Source organism: Homo sapiens, chromosome 13 (genome assembly GCF_000001405.40).
Source record: "Homo sapiens chromosome 13, GRCh38.p14 Primary Assembly".
Lineage (NCBI taxonomy): Eukaryota > Metazoa > Chordata > Mammalia > Primates > Hominidae > Homo > Homo sapiens.
This window is the reverse complement of record NC_000013.11, coordinates 28,439,529-28,452,297: the sequence shown is the minus strand read 5'-3', so window position 1 is coordinate 28,452,297 and position 12,769 is coordinate 28,439,529. Positions and strand designations below refer to the sequence as shown.

Here is a 12,769-nt window from a genome sequence, read left to right as displayed (position 1 = left end):
GTAAATTATCCTGTCAAAGCTTTGGGCTCAAGTCTGGTTGACTCCAAAGCCCCCGGTCTTTCTAACGTGTCCTTGCCTGGGCTCCCACCCCAACTCCCTCAGAACTTTGTGTGCATTATAAAATGGGAGAGAAGGGACAGGAGTGCATGCAGGGTTGCAAACTGGAAGTATGCAGGCTGGATTCAGCTGGCACACATGTTTTGATTGGCAGACACAGCACTTTTAGCTGCCAATGCTTAATAGCTAGAAGAGTTCACGTAAAAATTTCATTTCCTACTTATCTTTAAAAACTGGAAACACTAGCCACACTGGCGCATATTTCCACTTGGCAACAATGGACTGCAGCAAGCAGGGACGGCCCCTTCAGGCATGGGCTCACGTTCCCAGCTGCCACAACACCTCCTGTCCCACCTCCAGTTCCTCCACTCGTGTGTCTGGCCCCCGGAGGGATGTCAGTGTGCTACGCCCAGTGTGAACATTTCAAATGAATGCATAACAAATCGCGAGTTTAGGAACAGGAAAGTGCCTGTCCCACATTCCAGATGAGGAAGCTGAGCCCTAGAGAGTCCCGTGGTGGCGCAGGTCATCAGCGCAGCACTTCGACACAGCCCGACTCCTCCCCTGACTCCTGCCTCCCCTCAACTGCCCTCCTCCACCCCGACCCGCTCCCCTCCCCCGCCGCCCCGCACACAGCTATGCTGATGGAATGCATCGGGGCTGTCCTCTCGGAAAACCCACTGTCCCCAGTGTCCCTGCTGGAGAGGAGTCTGACCAGGCATCCTCTGCCCCTGAGAGGGAATTTCCTCCCCAGGCTCCAGAAAACAGGGCTTGCTCTGGTGTGACTGTTGGTTTTTGTTTTGTTTTGTTTTTGTTTTGAGACGAAGTCTCGTTCTGTCACCCGGGCTGGAGGGCAGTGGCACGATCTCAGCTCACTGCAACCTCTGTCTCCCAGGTTGAAGCGATTCTTCCACCTCAGCCTCCCGAGTAGCTGGGACTACAGGTGCCTGCCGCCACGTCTAGCTAATTTTTTGTATTTTAGTAGAGGCGGGGTTTCACCGTGTTGTCCAGGCTGGTCTCGAACTCCTGAGCTCAGGCAGTCCTCCCACCTCGGCCTCCCAAAGTGCTAGGATGACAGGCGTCAGCCACCGTGCCTGGCCAACTGTTGGTTCTGAGGTTGTCCTCACCATCTCCTAAAAAGTCCTCAGCACCTTACAGCAGAGAGCTAAGCAGAGGGTCCAATGACTGAAGCTTGGTTTCCGCGGTGAGTCTTCATCAGTCCGTTGCTTCCCATTTCTAGTCCCCGTCAGAAGGCCCCATGCTACCCCTGTTTCTGGGCCCTCATTTCTCCCACTGAGTGTGGATATTTGAAGATGTAATTGTCACGCTTGAGTCATTGAGGAGTGTCAGGGCCAGATTTTGGTGTGGTGGAGGGAGACTAGCCTCAGATCAGGAAGCGTAAATTCAGTTTTTGCTCAGCCATTAATTGTATTCCTGTGCTTGTGGGACAGTCTCTCCTCTCTGGGCCTCAGTTTTCTCATCTGTAACATGATAGGCAGAATTAGGGCATCTTAAAAGTCCTTTGACAGTTTTATAATGTTATGATTCAGAGGCAGAGCTGGGAATAAATAATAGGACTTGGGACATGGCCAAAAATCTTAGCAGTAGAAGAAAGATTTATAGTAATCCATTAGAGTTCCTTGCTTTTTCTTTTTCATTTCCCTCCCTCCCTTCCTCTCTCCTTCCTTCTTTTCTCCCTCTCTCCCTCCTTTCCTCCCTCCTTCCCTTCTCCCTTTCTCTTTTTCTTCTGAGATGTCTCAACTGATCAAGATGAAGATCTCTGACTGAGGTCAGTCATCTGGTTAACAGAACCTAGAAACCGCCAGCCAGCTTAGTGTGAAAACCCAGAGAGCACAGAAAGCTGAGACATTCTTAATCTTACAGTCCATCAAGCTTAAATCTAGCCAGCATTCCACTCTCACTGAGATCTTCAACTCACTTACTCAGATCTTAGCTGTAAATTTTTAAAATGAGGTCCCTACTTCCCTTCAAGGCAGGTATCAGTACTGTTTCCTCTAATCAACATGAGCATTCTTGTGTGTGAGGTGTGTGTGTGTCTGCTCAGCTAGACTCTGAGGACTGGAGTCCAGGGACTGTCCGTGTGCACAGTGCTGGGTACATAATACGTCCTGATTTCACCTTTCTTGCTTGCTTCAATCTTATATCTTCTCCATAAACATCTGTTGACAGTGTGCCATGTGTCCGCCTCTGCTGGACATTGGATTGAGGGGAATCGGTTTTCCTGATCCCCTGCCGCTAGACACCCACATTCCAAAGAGCATCCCAGGGGGCTTAGGCGAAGCCAGAGGAAGGAGAAAAGGAACCACCACTCCTGTTCCTCCTTTCTAATTCTTCTCCTTTGCTCTGCTCTTGCTGTTCGATCTGCTGTTATAAGTGAAGCAATGCAAAACAAACAAAACAAAACAAAACAAAAAGCAATGTCTTTCTTCTGAGGAAAGGCAGGTAGTAGGCAAAGAGCTCTTTTTTAGAAAGAGGCACTTCTTATTTTTTACCACACAAATAATACATTTTTAAATGTTTCATTTCAGAATGGCATCTTGAGTCTGAAACACAATGACTTTTCTCTAAGTTTACCCTGCTCAAATAGAAATATTTGTGTAACATGTAAGTGTCTGTCTGGATGGCAGAAACTAGCAACTGATTTTCTGATATTCCTAAGCCAGTCTCAGTGAGATTTTTTATCACCTTTGAATTTGTATATGAATCCACCAATAGTGGCGACAGTTGTTATATTTTTAGCTGATAAATTATAGTTGAGGTTCTTAAGATATTCATTTGGATAATCAGGATAGCTTACTAGGAGATATTAAATTGCGCATTCCATGTGGACTATAATACCCACACACACCAGGCAAGTATTCCCATCTATGTGAAGGCAGAGATGTTTCATTATGCCACCTGCCCACCAGGGACTGCCAACAAGGAACTGAAGGACATTTTTTTTTCTTAGAGACAGGGTCTTGCTCTGTCGCCCAGGCCAGAGTGCAGTGACACTGCAGCCTTGAATTCCTGGGCTTCGATTGATCCTCCTATCTTAGCCTCCAGAGTAGCTGGGACTATAGGTGTGTACCACCATGCCCAGCTAATTTTTAAAATTTTTTTGTAGACATGGGGTCTCACTGTGTTGCCCTGGCTGATCTCAAACTCCTAGCCTCAAACAATGCTTCTGTCTTGGGCTCCCAAAGTGCTGGAATTACAAGTGTGAGCCATCGCACCCAACCTTGAAAGACATATTTAAATCATGATGGTTCTATCACAGGGGAAAATTTTATTTTTTGTGAGTGGCCTAAACTGGATGCAGGAGGGGAATGGGAGAGAAATGCTGCAAAGACTCATAAGGTGAGGAGTTTACCCTGGGAGATCTCTGGGAACCATTCCAGCTCAGCCAGCTCAGGAAACAGTGGATCATCATTTCTAAGAAAGAGACTAAACCTCTGTTTTAATTCAAAATAAGTTTTATTGAGATATAATTTACATACCACACCCATTTAAAATGATGATTCAGTGGTTTGTAGCATATTGACAGATATATGCAACCATCATCATCACGGTCAATTTTAGAATATGTCATTGTCTCAAAATAAACTCCATAGCCTTTAGCTATCACCCCTTATCCCCCCAGCCCTAAACAACCACTTATCTACTTTCTGTTCCCATAGATTTGTCTCATGGATATTTTATATAAATAGAATACATAATTTGTAGTCTTTTGTGACTAATTTCTTTCACTCAGCATAATATTTTTGAGGTTCTTTCATGTATCATGCATGTATCAGCACTTGATTTCTTTCTATTTCTGAGTAATATTCCATTGTATGGACATATCACATTTTAGCTATCCATCAATCAACTGATGGACATTTGAGTTGCTTCCACCTTTTGCCTATTATGAATAGTGCTACAGTAAACATTTGTGTACAAGCTTTTGTGTGGACACAAGTTTTCATTCACTTGGGTAGATACCTAGGGGTGGAATTGCTGGGTCATCTGGTAACTCTATGTTTAACAATTTGAGGAACTGCCAGACTGCTTTCCAAAGTGGGTGCACTACTTCACATTCCCACCAGCAGTGGATGAGAGTTCCAGTTGCTCCACATCCTTGCCAACACTTGTAATTATGTCTTTTTTATTATAGCCATTTTAGTGGGTATGCAGTGAATCTCATTGTGGTTTTGATTGGTATTTCCATGATGGCTTATGATGTTAAGTATCTTTTCATTTGTTTATTCCCTGCTTGTTTATCTTCTTTGGGTAAATGTCAGTTCAGATCCTTTTCCCATTTTTAATTAGCTTGTCTTTATTACTGAGTTGTAAGAGTTCTTCAACTTTTTATTATTTCATACAATTGTATATTATAATATATTTTATATGTTCTAGAGATATAATATATAGATACATAATATATCTAGATTTTTATGTATTCTAAACATATGTTTATATATTATATATGTAGATTTTAAAAATATATTTGAGGCATATAAAAATATATTTTATACATTCCAGATTTAAGTCCCTTATGAGATATATAATTTGCAAATGTTTTCTCCCATTCTTTGGGTTACCTTTTCACTTTCTACACAGTGTTCTTTGAAGCATGCAAGTTTCAAATTTTAATAAAGTTCAGTTTATTTTTTCTTGTGTTGCTTGTGCTTTTGGTATCATATATAAGAATCCAATGCCATATTTGAGATCATGAAGATTTACCTCTGGTTTCTTCTGAGAATATTGTATTAGGCCAGGTGTGGTGGCTCATGCCTGCAATCCCAGCACTTTGGGAGACCGGGGCAGGAGGACTGCTTGAGCCCAGGAGTTTGAGACCAGCCCTGGCAACATAGTGAAACCCTTATCTCTACAAAAAAATTTTTAAAAAAAAATTAGCTGGGTGTGGTGGCACATTCCTATAGTCTGAGCTACTCAGGAGGCTGAGGTGGGGGCATCACTTGCGCCTGGGATGTTGAAGCTGCAGTGAGCCATGGTCCTGCCACTGCACTTCAGCCTAGAAAAGTGAGACCCTTTTGCAAATATATATAAAATATATAATATATTATATATTATATTATATAACTATAAAATATATATTTTTTATAGTTAGCAGTTTTTGGTTAATATTTGTATATGGTGTGATATAAGAGTACAACTCCATTCTTTTGCATGTGGAGCTGTTCCAGCACCATTTGTTGAAAAGATTATTCTTTCCCCACTGAATGGTCTCCTTGAAAATCAAGTGGCCATAGACACATGGGTTCATCTCTGGAGTCTCAATTCTATTCCACTAATCCATTGTGCCAGCACCACACTGTCTTGATCATTGTAGTTTTCATCTGAAATCAAGAAATGTGGAGTGCGGTCTTCCAAGATTGTTTTTGCTTTTCAAGATTGTTTTGTCTATTCTGGGTCTCTTGCAATTTCATATGAATTTTAGAATCACCTTGTCAATTTCTGTGAAGTCATCTGGGATTCTTACAGTTATTGCATTTAATCTGTAGATCAATTTGGGGGACATTAACATCTTAACAATATTAAGTCTTCTAATCCATGAACATGAGATGTTTCCCACTTAGTAGATCTTCTTTAATTTCTTTCCACAATGTCTTATAGTTTTCAAAGTATAAGTTGTACATTTCTTTTGTTAAATATATTCCTAAACACATTATTCTTTTTGATGCTGTTATAAATGGAATTGTTTTCTTAATTTCACATTCAGATTGTTCATCGCAAATGTATAGGAATATAATTCATTTTGTACATTGTATCCTGCAATCTTGCTGAACTCATTTATTAATTCTAGTAGTTTTTTAGTGGATTCCTTAGCATTTTGTAAGATCATGTCATCTGAAAACAGAGACTGTTTTCCAAAATACCTGTACCATTTTGATCTTCCCAATCTGGATTTATTTTTCTTGCCCAATTGCTCTGTCTGGAACCTCTAGTACACTATTGAATAGAAGCGGTGAGGGTGGACAACGATGTCTTATTCCTGATCTTAGGGGGAAACTTCCAGTGCTTCACCATTAAATATGATGTTAGACGTAGGGTTTTTTCTAGATGCCATTTATTAGGTTGAGGAAATTCAGTGCAATTCCCATTTTCCTGAGTGTTTTCATCACGAAAGGAGCTTGGATTTTTGTCAAATCCTTCTTCTGCCATTTTAAGATAGTCATGTGGGTTTTGATGTTTATTCTATTGACATGATATAGTAATTACATTGGTTTTTGGATGTTAAACCAATCTTGCATTCCTGAAAAAAATCCCACTTGGGCATTGTATATAATTCTTTTTATATGTTTCTGAATTCAGTTTGCTAGTACTTTATTGAGTTTTTTGCAGCTATATTCGTAATAGATATTGGTTTGTCATTTTCTTGTGATGTCTTTGATTTTGATATCAGAGTAAAACTAGCCTCCTAGAATGAGTTGGAAAGTTTTCTCTTCTCTTCTATTTTTTGGAAAAGTTTGTGAAAAATTGGTATTAGTTCTTTATGTTTGGTAGAATTGACTTGCCATCTGGGCCCTGACTTTCCCTCGTGAGCAGCTTGTTGTTGTTGTTGTTGTTGTTGTTACAATTCAATCTCTTGTTAAAAGTCTGCTTGGGTTGTCTAATTCTTGTTGAGCTTGTTTCAGTAGTTTGTGTCTTTCCCGGCATTTATCCATTTCATCTGTGATCTAATGTAATGGCATATAATTATAATATTCCTTCATAATGCTTTTTAATTTATAATTTTAATAGTAATGTCCACTGTTTCATTTCTTTTTAGTCTAGCTCTGTCACCCAGGCTGGAGTGCAGTGGCACAATCTCGGCTCCTGCAACCTCTGCCACCTGGGTTCAAGCGATTCTCCTGCCTTAGCCTCCTGAGTAGCTGGGATTACAGGAGTCCACCATCATGCCTGGCTAATTTTTGTATTTTTAGTAGAGATGGGTTTTCACCATGTTGGCCAGGCTGGTCTTGAACCCTTGCCTCAGATAATCCACCCGTCTCAGCCTCCCAAAGTGCTGGGATTACGGGCATGAGCCACTGCACCTGGCCCTGTTTCATTTCTGAATCTAGTAATTTGAGTCTTGTCTCTTTTTTTCTTGGCTTGTCTGGCTTAAGGTTTATTAGTTGTGTTTGTCTTTTCAAAGAACCAGCTTTTGGTTTAGAAAATTAATGAAACTAATTTATTCTGTTGTTTTGCATTCTCTTTAATTTCTACTATAATCTTTATTATTTTCTCCCTTATGCTTTCTCTAGGTTTAGTTTTCTGTTCTTTACTCAATGTTCTAAGGTGGAAGTTTAGGTTATTGATTTGAGATGTTTCTTCTTTATCAATATAAGCATTTATAGCTATAAATTCCCCTCTAAACACTGTTTTAGCTTCATCCCGTAAATTTTAAATTTTAGTATGCTGTGTCTTCATTTACATTCATACCAAAGTATTTTCTAATTTCTTTTTAAATTTCTTCTTTGACCCATTGATTATTTAGGGATGTGTCAATTTCCACATATTTGTGAATTTTTCAAATTTATTTCTGTTATTGATTTTTAATTGCATTCCACTGTATTCAGACAACATACTTTGTATTATTTCTATCCTTTTAAATTTATTGAGGTTTGTTTTATGGTCTAGCATATGGTCTATCTTGGAGAATGTTTCATGTGCACTTGAGGAAAATATATACCCTGCTGTGATGGGTGAAGTGTTCTATAGATGTCGTTGGGTATAGTTGGTTAGTAGTGTTGTTCTGGTGTTCTACTAGCTTTTTAAAATCTTCTGTCCAGTTCTTCTATCCACTTTTTTTTTTAAGTGGAGTCTTGCTGTGTCGCCCAGGCTGGAGTGCAGTGGTGTGATCTCAGCTCACTGCAACATCTGCCTCCTGGGTTCAAGCCAGTCTCCTGCCTCAGCCTCCCGAGTAGTTGAGACTTCAGGCGTGCATCACCACACTGGCTAACTTGTGTATTTTTAGTGGAGATGGGGTTTCGCCATGTTGACCAGGCTGGTCTTGAATTCCTGACCTCAAGTGATCCACCTGCCTTGGCCTCCCAAAGTGCTGGGATTACAGACATGAGCCACTATGCCTAGCCCACTATCTACTATTGAAAGTGGGGTATTGAAATCTTCACCTGTTATTGTTGAACTGTCTATTTCTCCCTTTGATTCTGTCAGGTTTTGCTTCCTGTGTGTTAGTGCTCTGTTATTAGGTACATATATGTTTTTAATTGTTATATCTTCCTCAAGGATTGACCCTCTTAATATTATCAAACACCCCTCTCTATCTTCACTAACCATTTCCTCACTAATAATTTCTTATTTAAAAGTCTATTTTGTCTGATGTTAGTATAACTACTCCAACTTTCTTGTGGTTGCTCCAAAGCTCTGTTTTGAGTTGTCAGTGGCTTTGATAGGCAGTGTAAGTCATGGAAGAACCTGCCTGTTTTCTTTTCTTGCTCATATTTCAAATAAAATATTTTACCAATCAGTACATTCTCCTTGAGTATTACTTACGGTCCACAATATGAAGATCTGTGTGATGTGAAAACTCTTATGTCTAGATAGAACCCTTTTCATGGGATTGGTTAATTCATTTTTTATCCTCTCCCCTTCATCTTCAGTAAATGAAAATCATACCCTCCTTTAAAATGACTAGATGTCCTCATGACCAGGATAAAAATGCAATTAAAAGAAAGGCAACCAGGAAAAACTTTGTAAAAACCATAAATATGTACATGTGCTAGAAAACAATGTGTTTACTCTTGAACTCCTCTTCAAGTCACAAGTCCTAAATTTTGAACATTGTTTACTTGCTCTGAACACAGCAGAGCTCCCAGGTGATGCCAGTTGGAAATGGAATCCATTGAGGATAACATGCAGGGGCCACTATGTCTGTATGCTTCAATGTGCCAGCATGATTACAGATTTCAAAAGGAAAAAACACATTTAAAAAATAGACATCGTTCCATTCTGAGCAAGGGTCCCTGTTTGATCTTTCTCTGTGTCTGAGCCCACTTGTTGTCCTGAAGGATAGGTGACAGCCCAGATACTCCCAGTGGGTGAGAAAACCTCATATTCTATGCCAGTTTCCTGTCACTGCTTTGAGCTCTAAGAGTTCAGAGAGGTGAGGGCAGTGTGACCTCCACCTAGCTGAGTGTTGGCATGAGTCCCTGGTGACAGTGTGTCTGAGCTGCCAGTACACCGGCAGTCTTTGGAGCAGCTCTTCCTCACTCTTTCAACAACCAGCCAATTTGGTCTCAGGAAATCACTCTGCAGTGCTGGCTGGGATTGGAAGTCATTTTTAATTTTGTGACAAAGACAGATGTGTCCTACGGGAGTAGTAAGTGGTTTTACTGGTGATATTAATGGAACCGTGACCTCTTCTATATCTATGGTCCTACAAAACAAAATATGTTTGTATTATTATATGTCAGGCAAATTCATTCTTAGCCCTTCCTTGAAGTAAATTGCAGAGGAAATATACTATTAATAAGCCCAGAGAGTATTGTTCGTGTGTTCGTGTGTGTGTGTGTGTGTGTGTGTGTGTGTGTATCTACAGTCATATGCTCATTTGCAAACACAGTGGATTTATAATGCCACTTTTGACTGTCACACAAATAATGTGTTTTGCATAGTGTTTGGAGGGACACAAATCACTGAAGTTCTGATATCTTCGGATAGAATTTCAGTGGACCCAGTGCTGAAATTGGTATTGGCTTTTAGAGGCCAATAGCTGTAGTAAAATTTAAGTTTTTTGGGGATCCACAGTACCAAAGGGAAAGAAGAAATTCAAAGATATGTTGAATTAACCTTTTCTATTTTCATTTGGGATTGGTATTCATTAGTCTAGAAATGACTACACTGATTTTATTATCTCCTGTAGGAACTTTTTGTGCCAGTGTCCTTTGTTGAAAACAGTTGCTTAAGGAGACAGTAAATTAAATATGAAGGATTTACAATTTAGTTAAATGAATTAAACCATTTCTTAGTGTTTGTGTTTACCTTGGGATGCACAAAAGAGACAAAAATATAGACTCACAAGAGGAAGGAAAGGAATGATCAAATCCCAATAGTCCATGGCTGAATGTCTAGCTCAGCAACTTTATTTAAAGGAAGAATTTAATTCTGATAAGAAACCCTTGTGTCTATCTGATTAACTTTTTCTCTCTGCATATGTTACTACACCCACTGAGATTTCCTAATAAACACATAAGTTTATTAACTGTGACAGTTAATGTCTCATTCTATTATAGAGGATGAAACTCAGGTAAATCAAATGCAAAATTTATAGTTTTCCTTAAGCAAAAATGGATGGAGCTTTATCATTTGAGTTTTAACTTTAATAATTAAAAATATTACTATAAAATAATGCATGATCATTCTAGAAAGACTGACAAATATAGAAGAAGGTAAATAAGAACAACAATAATCCATAAAGCCAACACCCAAAGATAATCATTTTTAACTTTTTTTGGGCAGAGAAGGGATCTTGCTATGTTGCCCAGGCTGGTCTCAAACTCTTGGCCTCAAGTGATCCTCCTGCCTCAGCCTCCCAAAGTGCTGAGACTACAGGTGTGAGCCACTGCACCTGGCTCTTAAAATTTTAGTATGTTTGTTTCCAATCCTTTTTCCTATGCCACTATATCAATATATATTTATATTTTTGATAGTTAAGATGATGAGTATAATTTGTGATTTTCATATCTACCTACTGGTACCAGCAGCGAATCTGTATGGGTCTACAGCAACTTGATCCTTGCCTCCTTGGAGGAAGGAATTCAGCCAAGGGCATTAGTAGGTGTAAGGCAGAGGGAGAGACTGAGGCAAATTTTAGAGCAGGAGCGAGAGTTTATTAAACAGTTTTAGAGCAGGAATGAGAGGAAGCAAACTACACTTGGCAGAGGGCCAAGCAGGCAACTGGAGAGATTCAAGGGTTTGTGTTTATTTTCCCCTGATTTTTCCTTTGGGATGGGCTGTCCACATGCACAGTGGCCTGCCAGCACCTGGGAGGAGCCACATGCGCACTGTGTTTACTGAAGTTGTGTTTGTGCTCACTTGAGGTGTTTTTCCCTTACCAGTTGAGCATTCACAGAGGAAAGTCATATACCGGTTAAACTGTGCCATTTTGCCTTTGAGTGTGCATGCTTGAGCCTGCTCCCCCAACTTCTGAGATCTTATCAGGAAGCTGCTGATCACCAGCTTCAGGTGTTTCCTATCTGTTGGGAGACGGTCTCTGGTGCCAGCTGTGACTAATTATTATTTTAGAAAGACAGTTTAATAACCACCTGACCATCACCTGATGGTCACCTGACATTCTTGGGAGGAGGGGCACTCTCCTGTCCCACTCATGTCTGCCTAACTGCCAACTCTAACACTTTGTTCATAAGTTCAAATGAGTCATAATAATAATAAGAAAATTAACAGCTAACTATTTGCCAGGCATCATTCTAAGTGCTTTACATATATTAATTCATGTAATCCTCATCATAGCCCTTTCACTTAGATTTTACAAATGAGGCACAGAGGGTATAATGATTTCCCCAAGGTCTCACAGTTACACAGGACCACAGCCAGGATTAAACCCAGGCTTTGAGGCGTACTCTGAACCACCTCCCTCCGACTCAAAGCCTGCCCCAAAGCCTGCTCTCACACACCATGCCTTGGTGTTCAGCCCTTTTTCAGAATTTCTCCAACACTATGCAGTACCATGAGGCACTTACTTTCCCACTGAATGTGTGGAAATCAGCCTTCATCTCTGAAAAACCATTGTCACCTGCTGGCAGCCCTTTCTATGGGGGCCTTCAAGAGAACGTAGCCAGAGGTTCAGCCTTCAGGGTGCCGCCAGGGAAGGGGCTCTAGATTGGAGGCAGAAGTAACTGGCCTACAGGCCTGGCTGTGCCCATCTAGACAACTCATTTCACCTGTTTGTGCCTCTTTTCTCATCTGTAAAAGGACGGGGTTGGATACCCGTTCACTCATTCATTCAGTACACATGAGACAGACATGAATACAATCCATTTCCTCTCCTCTAGGAATGTAGCATCCAAGGAGTACCCAGAGAAAAAAACTGCTGGTTCTGTGGACCGTGTTGTAACAGAATCAATGGGAACACTGGGAAAGTCCCTAATGTGGGCTAGGGTGGAGAAGGGTGCAGGAAGGAAGGGGGCTAGCAAGGCTTCCCGGAGGATGAGTGGGAATAATTAACATATAGGTGCCAGGGACCACACAAGATGGGCTGTGGTGAAAGGGTCTCTCTAGAGCTCACATCTGTGCCTCCATTCCACACTGCTGTGCAGAAAACTATCCCATCTTCAGCAGGCTACAGCAATGGCCCACTTTTTTTTCTTTTTTGGCTTAAAACTACAGAAATGTATTATCTCACAGTTCTGGAAACTCTAAGTCTGAAATCAAATCATCTGGGCCATGCCCCTTCTGAAACCTGCAGAAGAACCCTCCCTCGCCTCTTCCTACATGCTGGTGGTTGCCCGCAATCCTTGGCATTCTTTGGCTTGCCGCTGCATCACACCTGTCTCTGCCTCCATCTGCACATAGTGCGAGTCTGCACACCCTGTCTGTCTTCACATGACTGCCTTCTTACAAGGATGCTAATCACATTGGATGAGGAGCCCTCCCTTACTTAGCTTAAGCAATTACATTTGCAACAATCCTGTTTTCAAATGAGGTTACATTCAGAAGTACAGGGGGGTTAGGACTTCAGCATATC

General features: G+C 40.8%; 1 protein-coding gene across 4 annotated transcripts in view, besides 1 other annotated feature; it reads left to right on the top strand.

The window, feature by feature from the left end:
- Positions 1-12,769, top strand: part of FLT1 (fms related receptor tyrosine kinase 1) — a 194,783-nt gene that overhangs the window by 42,831 nt on the left and 139,183 nt on the right. The gene's annotated exons all lie outside the window — the stretch shown is intronic.
- Positions 11,437-12,221: an enhancer, noted in NCBI's record as "NANOG-H3K27ac-H3K4me1 hESC enhancer chr13:29014214-29014998 (GRCh37/hg19 assembly coordinates)". NCBI's record gives its function as "activates a minimal SCP1, AML or CMV promoter by ChIP-STARR-seq in naive H9 embryonic stem cells {active_cell/tissue: H9 hESC(naive)}" and the evidence as "EXISTENCE:reporter gene assay evidence [ECO:0000049][PMID:30033119]".